This window comes from Homo sapiens, chromosome 21 (assembly GCF_000001405.40).
Source record: "Homo sapiens chromosome 21, GRCh38.p14 Primary Assembly".
NCBI classification, from domain to species: Eukaryota; Metazoa; Chordata; class Mammalia; order Primates; family Hominidae; genus Homo; species Homo sapiens.
The window spans coordinates 15425975-15450590 of NC_000021.9; the positions used below are offsets into that span (position 1 = coordinate 15425975).

Consider the following 24616-nt stretch of genomic DNA (forward strand, 5'->3'; position numbering starts at 1 on the left):
TTTTAGCAGACTTGAAACTTCAGAGGGGGAGGAAAAAATTCCCATCATCCCTACAACTTCGTTTGAAATGAAAAGACATCTCTAAGATTTGGTAGTTTTTTAAGCTGGGTAATGGTATAGGGCAGCTCTATCTTTACGATGTTAAAATTTTGCTAGTTAAAAAAACAAAAAACTAAATGGTACATTCTTGAAGTAGATGCAGGCCCACCCCATAGGCAAAAGACTTGTGAACAGATGATGGGCATGTGCAGATTTGAATGGTATCGCTTCTTCCTGGGGGACATAATACCATTTGCCAGGACACATGAGTTGGTAAGCAGAGTGTGAGCAGAATTTCAGTCTTCTCTTAATCCCTTGGCGGAGTAATCTCAAAGTCCCTGTTTTGGGTCCGTGATTCATGCCCTCCTGAGCCTGACCGTGGAAGGATCAGAAAGCATAGCCAGCGAGTAAGCAACAACGGGGATGTATCTGCCCATTCCCTTCCTGCTACGAGCTTTCGGACATAACACAGAATTGAGCTGTCAGAGAAGAGGAGGACTAAATAGGCATGGGTCTGGAGTTCTGATTATGACTCTGTACTAGATATTTCAGTTGATAAAATGAGATCTTATTTGTAACTCAGAGTGACTGGATGAATTTTTATTGTGTGAATTCTTGAGATTTAATCCAAGCAGTAGGAAAAGACGAGTTTGCAGGCAGGTTTAAGTGGGCAAATGGGCACTGAACACAAAATCAAAGTTATTTTCTGTGTCTAGCTGGTGCATTAAAATAATTGTGAAATGATTCTATTATGTTAATGAAAGTGTATCTATTACTATCAGTTAGATCGAAAACAGATAAATCAGACACTGTCTATTACTGTATCTGCTAGACATTATGCCTTAATACTTCAATATTAGCCAGAGTAATAGTTCCACAATCCCACATGCCTAGAGAGCAATTCAGAAGAGGCTACAAAAATTTAACATGATAAATAGTGAATGTCAAATAATTTTGTAATGGTATCAAATCACTTTGACAGACTTAACTTTATTTTGAGTTTATCTCAATCTAGTTTCACTTAAGTTGAAAAGTAGTTTGTTTTCTACATTGGGATGTTTCAAATACATATATACATGCATTTTTAGAATACCTGTAGTTTCAAAAATACCTCAGAAACGGAATGAGCTTTGGAATTTCCATCACCTTCTGACAATGGTGCATAGAACCCTGTATGGTTTTCGTTTTTCTAATACTCTTTATTGAAATATAATTTACATACCATAAAATTTAGCAAATTGAATGGGTTTAATGAATTCTGAGAGTTCTGTAACCATCTTCATCATCTTGGTTTAGAACATTTCATCACTCCCCCAAATAATCCCCTCTTTATTAACAGTTAATCTGATTTTCCCTCTTCCACCCCGCCAGCCCTAGTTATCCCAATCAACATTCTGTCACTATAGATATGCCTCTTACGAACTTTCATATAAATTGAATCACACAATATGTAATCTTTGGTAATTTGTTCCTTTCACTTAGCTTGATGTTTTCAAGGTTCGGCCTTGTTATAGCATGTGTCGGTACTTCATTCTTTTTAAGTGCCAAATAATATTCTGCTGTGTGGGTATACCCTATTTTCATCAGTTGATGGACGTTTGCGCTATTTCCATATTGTGGCTATTATGAATATGCTGCTATAACATTTTTCACATGTTTATTGTGTGGATGTATATTTTCATTTCTCTCGGGCATATACCCAGAAGTGAAATTTCTAGGTCATAGTGGAGTTAAACAAGATACCTCTATGCCTCCATGTGTAACCTTATGAGGTACATCCAAACTGTTTTCCAAAGTGGCTGTACCATTTTCCATTTCTTCCAGCAATGTGTGAGGGTTTCAATTTTTCTATATCCTCAACAATAGTTGTTATTGTTCTTTTCTTTCTTTCTTTTTAAAATATAGCCATCCTAGTAGGTGTAGAGTGGTTCCTCATATACTTTTAATTTTCACAGTTTTTTTTTTGAGACAGAGTCTCGCTCTGTCACCCAGGCTGGAGTGCAATGGCACAATTTCAGCTTACTGCAACCTCCACCTCTCGGGTTCAAGTGATTCATTCTCCTGCCTCAGCCTGCTGAGTAGCTGGGATTACAGGTTCATGCCACCACACCTGGCTAATTTTTTATATTTTTGGTAGAGACGAGATTTCACCATGTTGGACAGGCTGGTCTTGAACTCCTGACCTCAAGTGATCCACCTGCCTCAGCCTCCCAAAATGCTGGGATTACAGGTGTGAGCCACCATGCCTGGCCAATTTTCACATTCTTAATGACTAACAATGTTGAGCATTTTTTAAATGTTCTGGTTGGCCATTTCTATATTTTCTTTGGAGAAATGTTTATTCAAATCCTTTGTCCATTTGAAAATTGAATTATTTGGCATTTTATTATTGAGTTGTAGGAGTTATTATAACAGTTATAACAATCTATATATCAATCTCTTATACACATATTATTTACAAATATTTTCTCCATTCTATGGGTTGTCATTTCACTTTCTTGATAGTATCATTTGCAACACAAAAGCTTTTACTTTCAATGTAGTTCAGTTTATCTTTTGTTGCTTATTCCTATAAAGGCAGGGGGATGCTGGAGATGTTCAATGCTAAATAAAATGTAGTTTATGACCTAAATGCATGTATATGACAAGAGATGCCATCACTGGTATGATAAAACCATAAAGAATATTCTGTGCAGAGTTGATCATTTCTTTTAAGGCCAGTTTTCCCACCTTCTTGGCTTGGCTAACACTATACCTCTTTCAAGTTTCAGATGAGACAGAATTTTTCTAGAAAGCCCTATGTGCTTTCTCTCACCATCTCATAATGTCATCTTGAAGTAGTATCATTACTAACCCAATCTTAACAGATGAGGAAGCTGAGGCTCAAAAATGGCAAAAAATTTTCCCAAATTTATACAAGCAATTTATTGTGGGGTGAATATTTCAAACCAAGTCTATCTTCAAAGCCAGTGAAGATTTTGGTCTTATTTACTATCTTGGTAATGGGTTTATAACCAGGTGATTATTTCTGAAAGGAGATGATAACCCTTTAAACTGTACATCACATATCATTTCAGCTGCAAAAAATTAAAAATGTGATTATTCAAGTTCATAAATTATATTTTACGCATAATCAATTTAACGGTAGAAGCTTTTCAGGAGGCTCATTGGGAAATCATAATGAAAGTGAGACAAGAATTGTCTTTTGGTCTACGTATATTCTGAATGAGTGCCCCAAAGAAGAGAGCTTCACCTTGCAACTCTCACCACTCTTCTCAGAGGGTGTGTGTCAGAGAATTAAGTATACTGAGGTTGCACATTGACACAACACACTTTGAAGAGGATGGTGACTTTTATTATAGATAAGAGGCAAATATTGGGAAATAGAAACATGTCTCTGAAAGTGAAATTCAAAGGCAAAAGAAGATTGTATATTAACTGTACTTATATTTGAAAATATAAAGCATGAAATATATAAAAATATAAAAGATATGTCATAATTTTTAAAGATATGAATATAGCTGTATGAATATCATAAGCAAGAAAAGAAGTTCTATTTGTGAGTCGACCCTCTCAAAATGAGATTGATGATGAATGCCATGTTACTTCAATTGTTAAGTATTCTTCTGCTATGTCATAATGATAAAAATGTCACAACCATTTAATTATTAATTTCTCATACGATGGGTAAGTTAGATTCAGAAAATGAACTCTTGTGCAATATGAACTCATTCTACCTCACCAAGAAGCTATAAGAAAAGGCTTTTTGTAAGCCTCATACATCCTGTGCATAGCATACAGGATCTAATGTAAACTTCACAATAATTCTGCAAGGCAAGAAGGATTGTCCCTCTTTTGCAGATTCAGAAACTGGGGCTCAGAAGGATCTTAGAAGTGGCTCCATGTTCACAGCTGGTTAGCTGGCAAAGAGAGATTCAAGATTTTCAAATTCAAGATTTTCAAATCTTTCAAAAAGAGATTTTAAATAGTGCCCCATTACCCATGCTTTTTCTACTAGGCTGTACCCAGTCTCAAAATTCCTGGCTTCCAGCCGTTCACTTAAGATACTGGTTTAAGCTGCCTGTAGATAAGAAGATAATGTGTTAAGACACTGAACGCTGACATAGAGATTTTAGTCCTCTTCAGTAAGAATCAATTTTTCAAAATCTGGAGCAAACTCAAAAGCTCCATTTTTGGATGATACTAGTATAATCACCAAAATTGAGTCATCCCTTAAACAGTAATAATTTGCACAATAGTAAACTCCCTTTGTTCTGATGGCCAGTATTTCTTAGGGGTAATACTTCACCCTGCATTCATTGAGAGGCCATGTGGCATCTCTGTGACTTTTGACACCAAGATCTGACCTTTCTGTGGGCCATCCAGGGCTTAGCCACTGACATCAACCACTCCTTTTACTATACCATTTCATGTTCTGTGGCTCTTAAACAAGAACAGATAGCATGATGTCCTCTGTTAAAAACCTAAGAAATCAAATTATCCTGTTATTAAACTTGTCCTGACATAAGTTACATGTTTTTGGTGTGATAGATGTGTGTATGGCGACAGAAAGCCAAGCATAGCTTGCAGTTTCCTGAAAGGATCTGCAGAAAAACTGAAATCTGGGAGTCATTTTGAAGTCAAGACTGTGGCCATAAATGTACTATTATTTCACTCAGTGGAACTGAGCACCTTCCTCAGGAGAGTCCTAAACAGAAACGGGAGGACAGGAAGTGAGCCAGATACTATTCTGAGCTTCACACTTCCCAAAGTCCTCCAGGAAGAATCTCAGCCATTACGACATCATTGTCTCTTGGGACCTCCACAATTAGGTACTTTCCTGAGAAAACATCCATGATTCCTTGTTTTCCTGCTTTTTCTGTTTCTTACTATGGTCCTTTGTACATGTGTTTCCCCATTCTTCTGCATTAAATGAAGCTTTTGAAAACAGACAATGAGATGTCTTGTCTTTCTCTACAGCACCTCTTCCCACTTCCCCCTTCCCCCAGTCCCACCTGGGCATCCATTGCTGGTAGGTAGGAGAGAAACTGACCTGCAATATTAAAGGTGAACCAAAGCCCTAGATATCCCAAAAGGGAGCTCTGAAGAGGGAATTACCTGTCAGGTTTCCCCATGTAGCAGGGTCTTCTTTTTCCCTCACACACACCTTTGCTTATCGCTGGATGCAGGTGCCCTGGAGTGGGTGGGACCTCAGGAGAGGTAGGCTGCACTCTGTAGCTGAGGTCAACCTCAAGGGGGCACTGGTTGGAGGCTGTCTGCTGACCACATGCCCTGAAGCTGGGCACCACATCTCTCCCTACAGGAGGATCTGGGTGGGACATCTAGGTGACCAACACACTTCCCATGTTACTCCACAAAAATGTTCTTCCTTACCATACACATATTGATGATGGCTACTAAAATATCACCTTCCAGATATTAATTTTAATGCAAACATTTCTGAGAAGTAACCCTTTAAGCTGGTACCCACTATCAATTTCTTGGTGAAACAGCTTCCTTTCTTTCCCATGAGAAAGTTTTAAAAGGAACAAGAAGGCATTAGGTACAGCAGCCAAAGAGCATGGTGCATTTGGGTGTGTGGGGGCATCAACCAATGCCACTCCTTAGTGTGGGGCCATTACATTAGTGTAATGTGTTTTGTGTTGCTATAAAGGAATAGCTGAGACTGGTTAGTTTAAGAAGAAAAGGGGTTTATTTAGCTCATGGTTCTGCAGGCGATATATGCATGGCACCAGCATTAGCTTGGCTTCTGGTGAAGCCCCAGGAAGCTTTTACTTATGGCAGAAGATGAAGAGGGAGCAGGTGTGTCATCCAGCAAGAGAGGGAGCAAGAGAGAGGAGGAGGTGCCAGGCTGCTTTAAACAATCAGCTCTTGAGTAAACTAATAGAGTGAGAACTCACTCATTGCCGTGGGGAGGTCACCAGGCCATTCATGAGGGATCCACCCCCATGATCCAAATACCTTCCACTAGGCCCCGCCTCTAACACTGGGGATCACGTTTCCACATGAGATTCGGAGGGGACAAACATCCAAACCATATCAGCAATCTCCTCACTTTACAGATGAGGAGACCAAGGTTCCAAGAAGTGAGGTGGCCCAGGCAGAGCCCTCCAACTGGTGAGGACGGAACACAGTCTCCTCCTCTGAGCTCTTCCCTTTTGCCTCTTCTCATGCAAGCATACAGAGAACTGGAGGGGCTTTGCCAGCACAGACAGGGTATTTGTTTTTAAAGTATAAAATAGTGCCTCTGCCTCAGAAGAGTCATTTGGTCTTCACTCATAAACAGAATAGAGCTCTAGTGCTGGGAGTGAACTCATTGCTATGCGTGTGTGGACAGTGAGGAATAATGGTTTACTAGTGTGGGAAAAACACAAAAACAAGATCTCTCTAATCTCTCTAAATCTTATTTCTTCATAGCTCAGGTGGGGATAATGAATCCTGCTTGCTTATTTCCCAGTGTGGCTGTGAAACTTTAGGAAGAATAAGCTAGTCAGTATTTAGTATAGTATTATTTAACAGCAAGCAAGCACTTATTTCAAAAATCCTTTTAGACCTGCTGATAATTTGAAATATTCAAGAAGTGGGACTGCCTGGGTTCTGGACAATCTCAATGAAGTCCAGCTGTAAACTCTGGTCTAGCTGTACCATTAGGGCCTACTGGGTGAAAACCAGACTTACCTTTAAGATTCTAGTCCCCAACACATATGGCCTCTTCGATATGATTTTTGAGATGTGTTTGTCTTACTGAAGTCCACTGGGCTAAGAAATTACTTTGGGCTACTGTGCAGCAATGCTTTGTGTTTGCCTATTAGATTCCATTTTTAAAGGGCAATTCCTATCTATTGGGCTCTTACTAAGTGATATTCTCTCCAGTGTTATAGATCCCATTTTCTATTAAGCATCTAATATACATCAGATACTTATAGGTTTAAAATTATTTTTAGCATACAACAATGTGAAACAAAATGATGCTCTAATAAAGACGACAACAACAAAAGCAATGGCAACAACAACAAAACAACAGCAACAGCAACAACAAAACCATCAGGTTCTATGTAAAGCAGGTGGCAAGAAGAAATGGCATTAAAATAGCGCAGGGCCAAGGAATCTCAAGAGAGGCCCTGACAATTGGCACTGAATGTTGATTCTTCAGTAATTACGGAGCTCAGTGACCTGAGAAGAATTGGTGGTGAGCAAGCTTGCCTCAGCTATGCTTCCCACCCCCGTGTTTGTGCCAGCTGGGGGCCCAGGGCTGGTTTAAATTCTAGCAAGACTCTCATACCAGTGCAAACATTTACAAAATACTGGGTGTTTATCTTGGCCTCGAAGAAAGGTAAGCATCTTTTGGAGTTCACCTGACATTAAAAACATATTTAAACTTGGGGTATTGGCCTGTTGAAATTGTCCTATATGGATGTATTTGTGATGATTTAGGATGATTTTATAATAGTAATTCCCCACCCTTAACATTCTGTATATTCGCCAACATTTATTGAATGGGAACTAGGATGGGGAGGTGGAACACCTCAAAGGCCAAGTCTGACATTATGCATCCCATAATAGTAGTACTGCAGTGCTCAGGACTGAACTGCAAGGAATTATTATCATACTGTTTTTCCTGTAAAACAGTGATGTATATGAAATACTGAGAGTAGGGCTACGCAGTGACTTGCTTTTTCAGTGGTGCTAGATTCTTCTATTCTCTCCTGACCTCTCACTGAGAACACTGAAAAAGGTTAAGAGGCCAAAGAGTAGCTACAGAGAGAAAATACATTGCTCTGTCCTCATTAACACAGTGCTCAAACCAAGTGAGGCAAAAGGTTTAGAGAAACAATTTCCCTTTCAATGCCCAAGTAATGTTAATCTGTAAAAATTATCTATGTACTTTGTGCCAAATAAGGTAAACAATAAAAGTAGAGAGCTATTTCCTTTACACTAAAAGATGAAAAGTAGCAAATTGGTCGAGAGGGAGAAAATTGGATGGAAGTTCAAACTTTTCCTCTGCAAGTTTGATAACGGAATCTGCCAAAGTAAACTGGCAATAGAAAGATTAATGGGAGAAAAGTTAAACAAATTTATAATGCATAAGTGCATGGGAGTCACATAAGGTATAAAACTCAAGGGCTAGAAGGTTGAAGATTAAATGTCCTCTTTATAGGAAAGAGGAAAGTAGTAGATATAGGCAATTGTAGTAGAAGAGAAAATGATTTCTAGAGGAGATTAATGGGTCTGAAGAACAAACAGTTGCCTGGGATAATTTTCCTCCAGGCTCTGGGTACATGGTTACAATTTACAGAAAGGTAAGGGGCAGGACTGCACTGTGAACAGAGGTTGTCTTATTATGGAGATAAAGTCCCTCAGGTAACAGTTCTCATAGGAATAGATAAAAAGCCTGTTTGGGTGGGTGTGGTCATGGTCTTAGTTTCCTTTTCCATGATTAATATTCCCTGGTTAGTGAGGGGAACAGGGGATCGAAGGCAATTGTGTTTTTTGGAAGAACTTCCCTTAGTCAGATAAGAAAACTTCAGAGAGAGCTCCTGCCTGTGCTTGGAGGGAGAAATTAAGGGAGGGCCAGAGAAACTTCAATTCTGGGGCAGCTTCTAAGTCCTTCCAACTTCCTTTAATACAAAGTGCTCAGCATGCAAAAGTGCCGTACCTTGGGGTATCATTTTCTGTTGACTAGCCCAAAAGAATGAAGCTTAAAAAAAAAAGAGAATCTCCAAATTTTTCTAATTTATAAAAATTGAATGAATGTGGCATTGAATGTGTATATATAATCACTTTTACTTTCAGGAGTATCTTCCAACTCTGAAATTCTATGATTCTAAGACACATTCTATGTAATATCTTTCCTTGAAAAGATGTATTTTCTCTCTGATACCTAAAATCCTTTCCTTTGGATAGAGAAAGGATTTTCTTCCTTTTATATACATGCATTCACCACAAATTAATCAAGCAGAATATTGCTGGTACTTAAAAACAAATAAGCTGTAGCTCCTGTCCTCAAAGAGCTTACAGTCTAGGCAAAGATAAGTCATTAATTCATTAATAGACCTTACTGAAAATTTTGCAAGTGGAAGTTCACTTTCTAGTTTTCTCTGTCACACTAAGATGAGATATCACAAAGAGCTACAAAGAATCAGGCTCAATTTTCATCCATAGACTAAACATATTTCATTTCAGTGATGATATATTTCTATGATGTGTTTTGATGAATACAGCTATCATTACATAGGGCTCCTTGAGAACTCTGAATGTTCAAAAATAGGAATTAGCACTACAATAAAAAGTATATATAGGTATTTTTGGCAGAGTATATACTGTAATCAGTAAAACATAAAATGGCTTTAAAAATATGTAAGATATGTTTACAGGGATTTAAAACAGAGTGTCTTAACCATTTTAAAGTAATATAGTGCTAAAGTGCATGCTGAGTAATTCCAGGAGGTCTTCTTTTTTTTTTTTTTTTTTTTTGGTGGTTGTATAATTTAAATGATTCTTAATTTTAAAATGCATTTTTGGCCAAGACATTTAATGTTGAAAAGTGCCTATTCAGCATGCAAGAGACCATAAGTGTTTTTCATAAGAATTTTTATTATAAAGCTACATGAATTTTAAAAATAGTTATTTACACAAAAGGGCCTAATGGCTCCAATAGTTTAACAGATCAATAATCAATGTTCTTAAAAGTCACTTAATTCAAATTTATGTAATCTGCATTACGAAAAGATCTTATATACATATTTACAGCATAACTCCTAGTGATTTCTTTATAACTATCTCTGTCCCTAATGTCATCTTATGCTCCTTTATGATAGAAATATTTTTAAGACCAACACTTTGAAAATATCAAAAGATATTATTGCATAAACAAATACACTGGAAGTCACCTAAGGCTGTGACAATGCCTCTATAATAAAGATATTTAGTTGTCTTCCTTTTTGTGATTTTCCTAATTGTGAATAGAAGAAAATTCAAAGAAAATTACAGAAGAGTTTACAATAAAAGATTCCTAGTATCTTAAATGTCTGCCAAAACAACTTATATGGCTTTTGTTAGTTGTCATATTGAAGAGGAAATTAAAGACACCATAGCAACCCAAAATTTTCCAAGAATCTGTGGACATATGAGTCTGCTGTGTGCTTTTCAATATTTACAGAGTCAACTATAAGCTATCATGGTTTTATAAAGCTGGTAGTAGTCCAATCCCACATACATGTCAAGTGCCTTTGGGAACAACAAATAACTCATTAGACCTGTCCCCAAGTCTCCAGTTTATAATCCTCTTCAGATTATGTGTTGTCCTTTGGGTTTTGAAAAAAACCACATAACAAAACCTACTTCTTTTCCAGGCCCAAGTTTGTGATGCTTTCTTACTTCTCCAAGTTCACCTCGCTAGTAACAGTACTATTTCCTCAAAATTAAACCCAGAGGCAGTTTGATGCAGACAACTTCTTTGAGTTTCCCATAACCAAAAAATATATATTGACATTTGTGCTGGACTGCAATAAATGCATGCCCTGCTGTGCCCACCCTGATCCTGTTCACAGGAAACCCCTGACAAACAACTCCAAGCCTTAGAAAATCTCTCGTTTCTGGTTATAGTCTCTTAAAGGATTGTATAAAACTTAGAATATTTTATCTGGCTTTTCCCTTTCTTCAGGGAAAAAAAAAAATCTCCAGTGAATGATATCACTTACACAAAAAGAACAAAATGCATTTTTTTTTTTTATTTTTTAATGACTTTCTTTTAACCTACCCAAACTGCATGCTAAGCCCAAACTTTGTAATTCATGGTCTTAGAAATGTTATGTTATCAGTTCCCTGTCCCTTTCATGGGCTGCCCCCTTTCTACTCTTTCAAGAGCCTGGTAAGTCATATGATTGACTTTCAAACCAAGACTGGTTGATGTGAGTAAAGGAAATTGAATTGGAATACAATCACCCCCTACTGCTCTGAACAGTTTTTTGTGCATCTAAATATGATCTGAATTTCAGATATGGTTTTCTATTTGACATTGATTTTCCTCCAGCTTATATGTGCTACATCTTTACCTAAATTGAGTTGTTATCTTCTTCTGCCTTTTTGAACTTCACACTATAAATTAACTATTATCCTACTGAAATAAATTCCTTTGCAGATTTTATGTATATGGAAGGAATTTCAATTTCATTTGAGGATACACATTGAGTTATTATGTCCTATAGAGTAATTTATTGATCTTTGGGAACAAAAACCTCCAGTATAGTATCAGAAGAATTTTACTGTTAATTTTTAAAATAATACTTCAAAATTCACTCTTAAGGGAATATATGCTCACTCATATCAGTAAAATAAGGAATCAGTTGGATATGAGAGGATAAAAATCTGATATTCAAAATATGTTCTTACTCATTTTAAAATAAAGAGATCTATTAACAAAATACAGTGAATTTTGATAGCTTATGAGACTGTCGTTTTGACTAGAAATGGTTTAGAAAATTAATCTATTTGTTCCTCTCCAGCTTCCATTATAAATCATTTCTTCTGTCACCTCAAAGTTAAATAATAGTCTACATTGGAATTAATGGATCCAAAACAAAGCAATCATTAACAATTAAGTAGATTTAGATTAAAAAAATAAAAATAAATCCTCATTCCAGGAGATAAAAGAAGTATATGTGCCTTTAAATTAATAATGGCACAAAAGTATTGGTGATATCTAGACTCCTTCTCAAGGAGCAACAGGAAATTTCATTGAAATCAGCCAGAATTACAATATGTCTCACTCTGGAGGTGAAAAGGAGACAAAGTTGTAGTTATGTAAAGAACCATAGAGAAATTTACTCAGACAACCCATGAAACATTCATTTTTTAAAAACTGCACAAAACTGAAATCTTCTACATCTTTTCTGCTCTTAGAGTTTGCTGTGTTACTTTTGGAATTTATACTAATCTAGAAATCATGGCCATGTTTGGGGCCTTAGGTATCAAAAGACCTGGGGATTCCGTTAGGGGAACCTAGATATGAGTAATTCTTTCCTACTGTTCTTGTGTGCACGTTTCTGTTGCTTAACAAAACACATGCTGAAAAACCATACTTGGTCAAGAGGTAGATTTATGACTGTTTAGGAATCTACCACATGGAGCATGGGGCCTTTGTGGTTAAATACAACTGAATGACAATAAGGCAGTATCACAAAGCAGGAAACAGGCCTTGGCTCTCTTCAATTTTAGGTTATTGGGATTTGGAGAGGGAAACTTATGCCTCCTGCCAGACATGATTTTTAAACATTTTTAACTTGGTTTCCCGTTATCACTTTAAAGCACTTTGTGCATGAAGGGTGACATTTATGTGGCAAGTTATATTTTATTATTAGGTGAAAATTTTTTTGAACAAGTGAAAACATTTGTCTTTAATAGTGATTAAATGCCCAACAAGTTAGAACCTTTACAGAGAACAAAATGAGCTAAGTGCAAAAATAAGTTTCTAATGTTGCTTCTAAAAATAAAAAAATAACAAATGAATAAAGGAGATAAATGCACCAGGGATTTCCAAATTGGAAACTCAAAACATTTTTAAAGCTAATTTAATAATTTATTTTTAAAACCCTACAAAATAACAGAATGAAGATATTCCCTCCAATGTAAGGTATGCAGTTATTAAAATACTGATCAATTATTTGCTTTTGTTGTTTTCCTGTTAAAGTTTCCTTTCGTTGACTGTTTTTACCCTGGCAGCACATCTACTCTGCATACATCTCTGTTTATTAATCAATGCAATACCCTCTCTTCAGTTCAGTACAGGACCCATGAAATATTTTAAACTTGCTCCTTTATTGGGTTAAACCTATTTGAATGGAAAGAAATTAGCCATTACAATTCTGAGAGATCATGTCTGCACACAGCAAATCACAAGAAACATTCTTTGGGGTCACTTTTGAGGTTTCCTTCTAAGTCTTTGAAGCATATCATTGGTTACAAAAGGAAAAAAGACTAAATTTTCAGTATTAGGCAGAGAAAAAAAAATTTTATGAAGCAAATATTCATGCAGAATGTATTGATAAAACTTGGGAGTACACATGTAGCCATTCCATAAGTACCCCACTTTTTTTTTTATTTGTGTTCTTGGTTACATTAATTAAATGAGCTTAATCTCATACTCTAATTATTATCTCTACAGTTTGTTTTGTAGCAAAAAAAAAAAAAAAAAACTCAAAAAACACAAACAAAAACAAAAACAAACCCTAATGTAGGAGTTTAAATGTGTTATTTTTTGAGAAATATGAAATTCGTCTTTGGCATTAGCTTCAACTTTCATCCTAGAGTAGTTAATGGGCCTAAATCTAATTATTTGTAAAGTTTGCTTGGATGATTGGTAGATGATAAAGCAATATACACTAATTAGCCACAAGGACAACGACATGAGAGATGAATTTTACAGATACATCAAAAACTTATCTGTGAATGGAATTTTAGAATGCTTTAAATAGAGCTATAAAAATAGGTGAAACAAGTTGATTTAAGTTGGAGTTCTTTATTATTCATGGAACTATAGGAATTTTTTTTTCTTGTGGTACTTAGAAGTTTCAGTGTGTTATAAAGATTTTTTCTTCTACCAGATTGCATCTTCCTTGAAGGCCAGACCCATGTCTGATTCATATTATCTCCATGTGTCTAGTAGATTTCTCTCTATAAATTAGCTATCAAATATTTGTTGAATGCAGAACCCATATGCCATCCTTTTGCAAATTAGAAATAAAAGCATGCATTCTCCAGAACGTGTTTCTTAAAGCACCTGCCTCTCTTGTGTCCTTTTTGAAATTAATCACATGAATTCAGAAATGAGAAGGGATAGTTTTATGTTAGGTCTTTTGTAGGAAAGTAATGCACTGTGTCAAAGTTTCTTAAATTCAGGCTTAACCACTGGACTGAATCATAAGTACAAAATGTGCCATGGGATTAAAGGTCTTATTTTTTACTGTACTAAAAAATAAATAACAGTTTGGTAAAATGGTGTAATTATAGTTTCTTCTAGTATTTGGATATTAAATTAGAGGGTACCATAATTCAGGAATGATGGCCTTTTCTTTATCTGAATGTGTCTAGATAGAGGGCCCTGTGTTTTGCTGAAGACTGTAATTGTTAGTGTACTTATAATAATTCTCTAGTCACTCATCATCAGCACCTAAACAGCTTGCCTTGGAAAGTTATGAAATCCCGGAGTTAATGACCACGCTTAAATTTTGGCCAAGCAATCTAAACTCTTATCCTCAATTTTCCACAGCAGTTGGATCCATTCTAGAGGTAAATACCTTAGAGAAGAGAATTGACTAGGAGCAAAATACATGCAAATATATGTTATATAAAGAGCATGATAATTCCTCGCTTTACTATTTTTTAAATGGAAATATACTTTGTCTCAGATGTCACAAATTAGTGAAATACTTTGAGAGAAATATAATTTTAAATATCTCTAAATTCTTATAGATAAATGTCCTCTAATTTGTTTCTGAAATGCCAAATCTAACTTAAGCAATTTATGACCACTATTTTATCAGTGCTTAAATTTAATTTTCCTTCTTCATAGTTAGTACCCACTGTACACATTTCTATATTAATATACATACATATTTAAATTAATGTAACATTAAATCTATAAGCATAACCAAGTTAATTATAACTATGTGATAAAATATGCAAATTATTTTTTAGACAGTGACTCTTTCAAATATCCAACTGAATTATATAAATAAAACATGAATGACAAATTTTTTAGTTGTTTGTCACATATTACAACCATTCTATATGTTATTCATTTTCCAAATATAAAAGAGTTACCATTACTAGATGGAAAATTATATTCAGAAATGCAGACATGTCCTTGGTAGGAAAAAGATAGAAACGCACAACGAGCTTCACTCACTAAACCAAATTTCTTAAATTTCAAAAAGACCCATTATTCACAGGTCAAATTTGTCCCTTGATCAGTATACAGAAAACAATAAGGTTTAGTCATAAACAGTAAAGCAGCATGTCTGGAAGGAAAGAGACTAGAAATGAAACAAAATGAGATATGGGCCGTCTAAGGCTACCCCAGTCCTCACTTTCACCCCCCTTCACCTAGACGAGTACATGCTGAACAAGCACCAAAAACAACCAATAAATGAAAGGAAACTCAAAGGTCACTTGGGGTCATTATTTTCACATACCTTTGAATAATGAGAGCATCACATGTCAGCCAGAGGAGAACAAAATGTCACATTCTCCAGCTAAAGGTTGGCCTTGGTCAAAGGTCACAGAAGGGAGGCCAGGAAATAACCTAAGAGGTTAGGCTGGGTGCACAAAGAAAGGTCACCAAATGTCAATGAAAGCATGCAGCTGTTTGGAGATGAAACAACTGAGGCACCCTTTTGTGCTGACATCGGCTAGAAAAAATGTCTCTGCTGACATTTTTTTTAGCTGGCAGTTTTATAGGACATTGACATTAATGTACCCAACCCCGAATTAGCCTTTTAAAAAGCAACAGTTTGGAAGTTAAGTGCAGCAGTTTCCAAAAAATCATAACTGTGACATTTTTATTCCAGATGATTAATACAGCAATGGACTTCTAACACAAAATTTAGATTTGATCTGAGCTCTTTCATCACGACAATGTGTTAGCAACTAGGCCTCGGGACACAGGTAACAATCAGTAACTAGTATTTTTATGTTTTTAAGAATTATTATTATTCCTTTAACTAAAAGGTATTCAGAAACCTCACCTTATTACAAGGTAGGAAGACATGAGTGATTTCCACATTTCACTGGGCCTAGCTGTTGGCAGCTCTTGATCTAGTAATAAAATCCATTCAAAGGAAAGAGAAAAGACTGAAAAATTTGCAACCCCATTTTAAAGGAATTCATGCAAAATACTTGCAGACTAAATCTTAATCTATCTGAGTATTTCCATCTTAAACATCAGCCCTAAAAGTAACAATTCTTAGAGAAGTGGTGGTAGTGTTCCCAAGTATTCTCAGACATCAAACTCTACAGGAAAGAAGTTTAGAAAAGATAGGCACCTTGAATTATTCATATACTTAACTTACAGTTGATCCTTCCTAGCAGCTTCAGTTTTCTGTGTGTATGGAGGTCTATTTTATACACACACACCTGATATTCATCCAAGATTAGCAGCTGTTTCCAGATAACATTAGAACATTTCACATCTATAAACATCCTTTACTGATTCACAGGCACAAGACCATATTTTAATTCAAGACATACTTTTCAGTCCTCAGGGTTCTGACAAGTGGCCCCAATTTACAACTTAGGCAGCTCCAATTTTTTCCCAAATCTTTTTCAAACAGTTTCCACATCCTCTTAAAAAAGAGAACATTGTGGATTTATACAACAAAAATAATAATAATAAAAGTTGGCTGGGTGTGGTGGCTCATGCCTGGAATCCTTGCACTTTGGGAGGCCGAGGCGGGTGGATCACCTGAGGTCAGGTGTTCGAGACCAGCCTGCCCAACCTGATGAAACCCCGTCTCTACTAAAAATACGAAAAATTAGCCGGGCATGGTGGCGGGTGCCTGTAATCCCAGCTATTCAGGAGGCTGAGGCAGAAGAATTGCTTGAACTCGGGAGGCAGAGGTTGCAGTGAGCCAAGATTGCACCACTGCACTCCAGCCTGGGCAACAAGAGTAAAATTCCACCTCAAAAAAAAAAAGTTTACACAGAAACAAAACTCTAAAGTTTATTTCACAAACAGGGGCCATCTCTCCCTAAAACCTCTATTCCGGGTGAGTCTCTTTTTTGTTTGTTCCTCCGTAAACTTCCAGGGAGACTGCCAAACAGTAATGCTCACCCCGGGGTGACTGCAGGACTCACCCAGAGACAAAACTACCTTCCTACCTAATGGGCCCTAGACATATGAAGCCTGTCAGGAGAACATCATAAATCATGGAGATGGGAAGAGAGGGGGCAGGAGGAGCCACACAAACCCTTTGCACTTAGGAGAAAGAGTTATTTAACACGTCAGGGAAGTGCATTTAATAAATGAAGTCAGTGACTTGAACATGTCATATTCGATCTATATGGAGGTTACTGAACTTTCTTTAAAAAGTCATTTTTATGCTGGTTGCTTTTCTTATGAAATTTTCTACACCTCTAGTGTATAAAATGGATGTGTAAGCAGCTGATTGAGAAATAGCTAAGGTCAAAGTTAATAAGGAAAGCAGAAGGTCTAAAAGCAGGCTGCCTTTTTTTTCCCCTTTGAGTTCAAGAGACTCCATATGATTTGGGCATGACATACTAATGTTTCTGACATCAGGCCTTTTTTTAAATCTGCCTTCAAATAACTGATACTTGGGTGGTAATGAATGTGGAAGATGTCTCGTTGCTGGAATTACAAAAATGAACTTTCCTCTTCTGATTTCATTCATGGGCTAGTTTTTATGAGTAAAATGATATCAAAGACTTGGAGGGATGGAATATTGCCTCAAAATGTCAAGACAATATAAGTTACAGAATGTACAAGTTGGAGAAGAAAGAAAAGGGTGGGAACATAGAATTAGGTGTCCCTTTAAAAACAAAGAAGAAAGCAAAATACTCAGCAAGTATATAAACAAGTACAAACTGCACATCTATTTTGGAAAATGTTTTTGTATCTCCAGGCTTTCTGGATCCCTTACATTTAAGTCATGAGAATCTCTGGGTTATTTTGTCACATAAAAGAGTATAAAACCCCCATCAAATCAACAAATAGGTTTGCTCCCTCAGATGAGATTTAACTGAAACTTGGAACAAAAACAGTGAGGTTCATCAGATAAACATATGCCAAATTTAAGACTTCTATCTGTTCTTAAATGGATGCTATAGATTGTCTGCAAGAACTACTCCCTTCAACTTCAGATGTGATAAAGCTTGATATGATGCTCTTAGACCTTGAAACAGAAACCATATGTGGCAATAAACAAACAAACAAAATCCCTGGATACTGCAAAGGAAAAAAAAACAGAAAACTTACTCGATTTTAGAAGACTTGAAAAAGTTGTAATTATCTTCCTTGATGTACACGGTGTTCACTGACAGGAAAAAAAAAAGAAATCTCAGCACCTAAAAACTTATATATTTGCACATTTATGTTCAAATTATTCTCTAAATGGCTTGAAATAATTGCCTCTTCTGCTTTGTATTAACTAAACTTTTTTTTTTTTTTTTTTGTCAAGTCATGGTTCTTTTTCTAGTATCTGAAAATGTGCCAAACTAAATGTCAGTGCCTTCATAAGGAAGATTTAGAGTTCCTTTTGGAGCAGATAGAAGCCTCAAATGACAAACACGCTTATCCTGAATGCCCCTCCTGCTGGTGTGACTTACCTCAGAACAAGGTCAAAGAAGCCGCCAGAGAAGATCTACGATTTGTTTGACTTGACATTCCCTGGTATTTCCCTTTGTTATCCCTGTGTCATCGTTCTGTGGCAGAGGGAGAGCAAGGCAAGCGCTTGCTTTCAGGTATATCTGGCTAGTAGCCCTACATACCACAGAGAGCTACTGTGGATTTCACTGTATGAAAAGCCTCCATTTGACTTGAATGCTGTTAAAGCATTGCAGGGGTAAGTTTTGAAATCCTTCCTTAGGTCAAACTCTAGCTGGAAAGTTCGCCCCATCCTCCTCTTGGAAGGACTCTTATATGGCCTTGTAGCTAAACTTGAGCAACCACACACTGCAGCAGAGCAGCTGGCATGGCCCAAGCCAGGTGGGTGGTCCAGGCAAGGCCCAGTCCCCTTGTGTCCATTATTGCTAAGGTGCATCTAGGAGCACAAGGACAGGAGGAGTCAGACATGTGAGTGTTTTTGCAATCAGTCAACAAACATCCACTGTTTACCGATTACAGGACATTTCTTCTGGGCATTGGGAATACCAAGTGACAAAGTCATGCTTTTAATTTTCAAGGTGTTTAATAGAGAATAAGCCAGGGTTGGAACACTCTACCCCGGAAGTCCCTGCTATTAAATCTGGCTTTGCTTTTCAGTAATCACCTCCTTAAAGACCCAGGGGACAAAAAACTTAGAAACAATTTCCTCCCTCCCTGACTTACTTTGTCTCTGACTTCGGCCTTTCACAGTGGCACACATGGTTGGGACATCTAAAATACCACTGGAAAATTTAAGGATATAATCTACCTATATTATATGAATAGCACAAATTTATTTTCAATGAATTAGCAGAAGTTCAGAGCCATTCTTTCTTAGGCACTTTCCTATACTCTTGGTGAATTCGTCTAGTATGTGAAAAAAGAGTTTCTCTCAGATTGTTAGTCCCAGCTACAAGGCCTGCCACCATAGAAAAGTTCCTTCTCTGTCCTTTTTCTCCTCTCTTCAGATCCCCTTTCTTGACCTTTCTATCACAGCATCTGAACCTGCCTGCACCTGCTCATTGTCCATTTGAATTGCTTCTCTGCTGGAGGTATTCCTGGGGCCCACTCTGGCCTACTGCCTTTGGGCTTCACCTGACCTAGCTCTGCATTTACAAAGCAAGCCCAACAGATTTCCACCATACATTTCAAACACCGAGAATGACACTGATTTTGAAACTCAGCTACACTGCATAGAGGAACTCCCTGAATACACCCAATCACCCAATTTAGGGAAGTACGAATTTTCTGACAATGTGAAAGGGAAATGACCTATTTTAAACTAAAGTATTGAAAATTTCTAATTATTCTCATTCCAAGGGAAAAAAATGAAAAAAAAAAAAATCCTAAAGAAAAAGAACAATTCCCTCCTATAACCTATCCCTTAAAGGAATGGACAATACTTGGGTAATGATGTTCAACTTATGCATAAGAAGACAAAAGGGCATTTTTTTCTGTATGGCTTCTTTGCCAGAGACCCTTTGGTAATGTGAGGTTTTTCTAAAGGCATAAGGGACGATTTCTCTATGTAGTTTTGCAAGGTCCCTTTCATTCCTTCTGACATCTTACTTTATCCTTTTCCTTTTTCTCTCCCTAAATGAAATGGATGTCTATGTACATATATATTTTCTGAAATACAAATGTAGAATGGCATGTAAGTACCATAAACCTGAGATTTAATTTAAATGCAATATGTAAGCAAGGCCTGTTAGGTCCTGGGTCCCAGTAAGAAATGGGATTCACCCTTAAAATGGTTTAAGTGAAGATATGTTAACGGTAGCACTCCAAAAAGGCATAGGCAGAGTTTTAGGAGCAAATAAATAATTTACCCAGGGACTAGCAACATTACAACCTCTTGGGCTGAAGGGACAATGAGAAGAAATAATGTTAACAGAACCCAGCGAGAACTGGAAGCACAGAGGAGGGGCCGCCCAGTTGGAGCTGTAGTTTTGGAGAAATGCAGCAGCTGCCCAAGACGTGGTGCTGAAGCCACAGGGCAGCAGAGAAGAAATACCCTGGCTTTACTTCCTTGCAACTCAGTCAGCTCCTGCCAGTACATCCTGTGGCAAAATATCAGCTGTAACCTGTCAGTAAAAAGATTCAGTGGGGTTAGCTTCCTGATACACAGCAGGGAAAACATGGGTTGCCAAGGAATTTGGTATGGAGACTAAGGAATAATTTGCACAAAATTTCCCATTTAAATATGAGAGAATTAGAGTGAATTCAATCATCGGGTTTATAACTAACTTTCAGGAATTTAAAAAATGTGGAAGGATGATGCTATGGATTGAAATATGTCCTCCCTAAATTCATATGTTGAAACTCCAATCCCCAGTATAAAACGCAGCAAGAAGGGGGCCATCAGCAGGCCAGGAAGAGAGCCCTCACAAAAAACGGAATCAGCCAGCACCTTGATCTCGGACTTCCCAGCCTCCAGCATCATGAAAAAATAAAGATTTGTTGTTTAAGTCACCCAGTCTATCATATTTTGTTATGGCAGCCCAAGCAAACCTATGCAGCCGGGTCAAGTATTTTATATATATATTATAGGAGAATACATGCTTTGAGTCATATAGAACAGGATATTAACACCAACTCTAAATTGCTATTTGTAGATTTGGGGAAACACTCCAAACTTCAGTTTTCTAAATTAAATAAGTACAGTATTTTCTTCATTATTGGGCTTTTTTTTTTTTTTTTTTTTTTTGAGATGGATTTTTGCTCTTGTTGCCCAGGCTGGAGTGCAATGGCACAATCTCGGCTCACTGCAACCTCTGCCTCCCGGGTTCAAGCGACTCTCCTGCCTCAGCCTCCCAACTAGCTGGGATTATGGGCATGAACCACCATGCCTTGCTAATTTTGTATTTTTAGTAGAGATGTGGTTTCTCCATGTTAGTCAGGCTGGTCTTGAACTCCCAATCTCAGGTCATCTGCCCGTCTCAGCCTCCTAAAGTGCTGGGATTACAGGGTGAGCCACCCTGCCCAGCATTATTATTGGGCTTTTTAAAAGCATCACATTTCTTCTTGTATATTTTCTTTTTTTAATGAAGTACAGTCTTTACAATAGCCTTTAGTGAAGATTTGCTCCTAAAAACTTAGCTTTTGTTTATCTGATGATGGCTTTATTTCAAGTAGTTTCACCTAGTATATAATTATTTGATAGTCATTTTCTCTTGACTCTTTGAAGACATTTTTCATCATCTTCTGGCTTCCATTGTAGCTGCTTTCATTCCTTTGTAGTTATTTCATATTTGCTTTGTTTTTGGTGAGCTGAAATTTCACTAAGGTGTGTTCAGGTGTGTGTTTTTTTTGTTGCTACCTACTTATATTTCACTGAGGTCTTCTGATGTAATCTAGTCTGCCACCAATATTGGGAAGCCTTTAGCCATTTTTTTTCCTATACTGACTTTTCTCCATTCTCTATATTCTCTTGTGAAATTCTAAGCAATAAGCCAGACCTTCTAACTTTACTGTAATGTCCCTTAACCTCTATTTCATGTTTTCCAAATATTTACCCATGTTATATTGAGTCATTTCTTCTGCTGTATTTTCCAGTTGTAAATTCTCTCCTCAGCTGTATCTGATACTCTACCATTGAGTTTTTAATCTCAATAATTATATTTTTTACTACTGTAAGTTCTGTTTTTAAAATTTTTTAGCAATTCTGCATGATCAGTCTCCACAGTCTTATGCCTTCCTCACACATTTGATGCCTTTCTTTTTTTCTTTTAAAATTTAAAAATTTTAGTAGAGACTTAAAAATTTTTAAATTTTAAAAGAAAAAAAGTAGAGATTTAAAAATTTAGTACAGATTTTAAAATTTTTAAATTTTAAAAGAAAAAACAGTATTCTTACTTTTTATATTCTAAATGCAGTAATTTCCATATCTGAGATCTTAATGCATCTGATTCTTTTCTTTGTATTCTTTGTTGTTTATCCTCTTTCTTGGTCTCAATATGTTATTTTCCATTGTGTTTTGTTATTTTTGTTGTTGTTGTGAGTTTAGGCTTGATGAAACTTTTTCTGTGAGGCTATTCTGAGTCTTAGATTGAGAGTGTATTCCTCCAAAAATATGTGTATTTTCTTATGGCATTCATCAACTAGCACTACCAGTCAGGGGGTGATATGAATTTGGAGCACAATCCCACATTAGGCCCCGTTTATACTGATACATTTCCAGTGGGTGTATTTTTTTGTTTTTAAAAATGAGGTAAAATTTACATAACATAAAACTAGCCATTTTAAACTGTACATTCAGTAGCATTTATTACCTTCACAATGTTGTGGAACCATCACCTCTATCTAGTTTAAAAATATTTTCATCACCCCAAAAGGAAATCCCAAACCCACTGATATGGTTTGGCTGTGTCCCCACCCAAATCTCATCTTGAATTGTCATTCCCATAATCCCCATGTGTCATGGAAGCCACCTGGTGGAAGGTAAATTAATCAGGGGAGAAGTTACCCTCATGCTGTTCTTGTCATAGTGAGTGAGTTCTGAGAAGATCTGATGGTTTTATAAGGGGCTTTCCCCACTTTTGCTTGGTACTTCTCCTTGCTGCTACCATGTGAAGAAGGACATGTTTGCTTCCCCTTCTGCCATGATTGTAAGTTTCCTGAGGCCTAGCCAACTGTAAAGAACTGAGCCAATTAAACATCTTTCCTTTATAAATAACCCAGTCTTGGGTATGTCTTTATTAGCAGCTTGAGAATGGACTAATACACACACTAAACAGTTACTTCCCATTACCCAACTACCTATACCCTGGCAAACACAGATGTGCTCTTTCTCTCTTTATAGACATACCTGTTCTATATATGTTATACAAATGGAATCACATAAAATGTGATGTCTGATTTCTAGCTTCTCTTATTTAATATACTTCCCAGGTTCATCCATGTTGTAGCATTATCAGTATTTTATTCCCTTGCATGGCTAAATTCCACTGTACACACATATTACATTTTGCTTGGCCATTCCATTGATTGACATTTGGGTTTTTTATATCTTTTCACTACTGTGAATAGTGATGCTGTGAACATTCATGTTCAAGTCTTTGTTTGAATATCTGTTTTCAGTACTTTTAGGTATACACCTAAGAATGGAACTGTGATCATGTAGTAAATCTATGTTTAACTTTTTAAGGAACCCCAAAACTGTTTTCCACTGTGGATTGTACCATTTTACATACCCATCAGCAATGTATGAGGGTTCCAATCTCTCCACATCCTTGTCAACAGAGGTTATTTTCCATTTTATTTTGTTTATGTATAGCCATTCTAGCAGATGTGAAGTGGTATCTCATTGTGGTTTTGATTTGCATTTCCCTCATAAATAATGATGTTGAGAAACTTTCCACGTGCTTATTGGCCATCTGGATAACTTCTCTGGAGAAATATCCATTTAAGTTGTTTGCTTGTTTTTTTATTTATTTTAAGTTCTGGGATTCATGTGCAGGACCTGCAGGTTTGTTACATAGGTAAATGTGTGCCATGGTGGTTTGCTCCACCTATCAACCCATCACCCAGATATTAAGCCCAGCATGTATTAGATATTTTTCCTGATGCTCTCCCTCCCCCATCCCTCCTCAACAGGCCCCAGTGTATGTTGTTCTCTATATGTCCATGTGTTCTCATTGTTCAGCTCCCACTTATAAATGAGAACATGTGGTGCTTCGGTGCTTGGTTTTCTGTTCCTGCATTAGCTTGCTGAAGATAATGGCTTCCAGCTCCATCTATGTCCCTGCAAAGGACATGGTCTCCCTCCTTTTTATGGCTGCATAGTATTCCATGGTGTATATGTACAACATTTTCTTTATCCAGTCTATCATTGACATACATTTGGGTTGATTCCATGTCTTTGCTATTGTGAATAGTGCTGCAATGAACATAAGCATACATGCGTCTTTATAATAGAATGATTTATATTCCTTTGGGTATATACCCAGTAATGGGATTGTTGGGTCAAATAATATTTCTGGTTCTAGATTCTTGAGGAATCACCACACTGTCTTCCACAATGGTTGAGCTAATTTACATTCCCATCAACAGTGTGAAAGTGTTTCTATTTCTCCACAGCCTTGCCAGTATCTGTTGTTTCTTCACTTTTTAATAATCACCATTCTGACTGGCATGAGGTGGTATCTCATTGTGGTTTTGATTTGCATTTCTCTAGTGATC

The 24616-nt window shown here is 36.9% G+C and overlaps 1 long non-coding RNA gene across 5 annotated transcripts in view, besides 1 other annotated feature; it reads right to left on the reverse strand.

Annotated features, from left to right (window-relative positions):
* Window positions 1–18682, reverse strand: part of LOC101927745 (uncharacterized) — a 75707-nt gene extending 57025 nt beyond the window's left edge. For all 5 annotated transcript variants that reach the window (NR_188238.1, NR_188237.1, NR_188235.1 and 2 more), the window contains exons 1-2: window positions 18400–18682; window positions 18050–18107 (exon numbers count right to left, since the gene is read on the reverse strand). This is a non-coding gene — a long non-coding RNA (uncharacterized LOC101927745). The remainder of the gene's footprint in view (window positions 1–18049; window positions 18108–18399) is intronic.
* Window positions 18954–19723: an enhancer, noted in NCBI's record as "OCT4-NANOG-H3K4me1 hESC enhancer chr21:16817247-16818016 (GRCh37/hg19 assembly coordinates)". NCBI's record gives its function as "activates a minimal SCP1, AML or CMV promoter by ChIP-STARR-seq in primed H9 embryonic stem cells {active_cell/tissue: H9 hESC(primed)}" and the evidence as "EXISTENCE:reporter gene assay evidence [ECO:0000049][PMID:30033119]".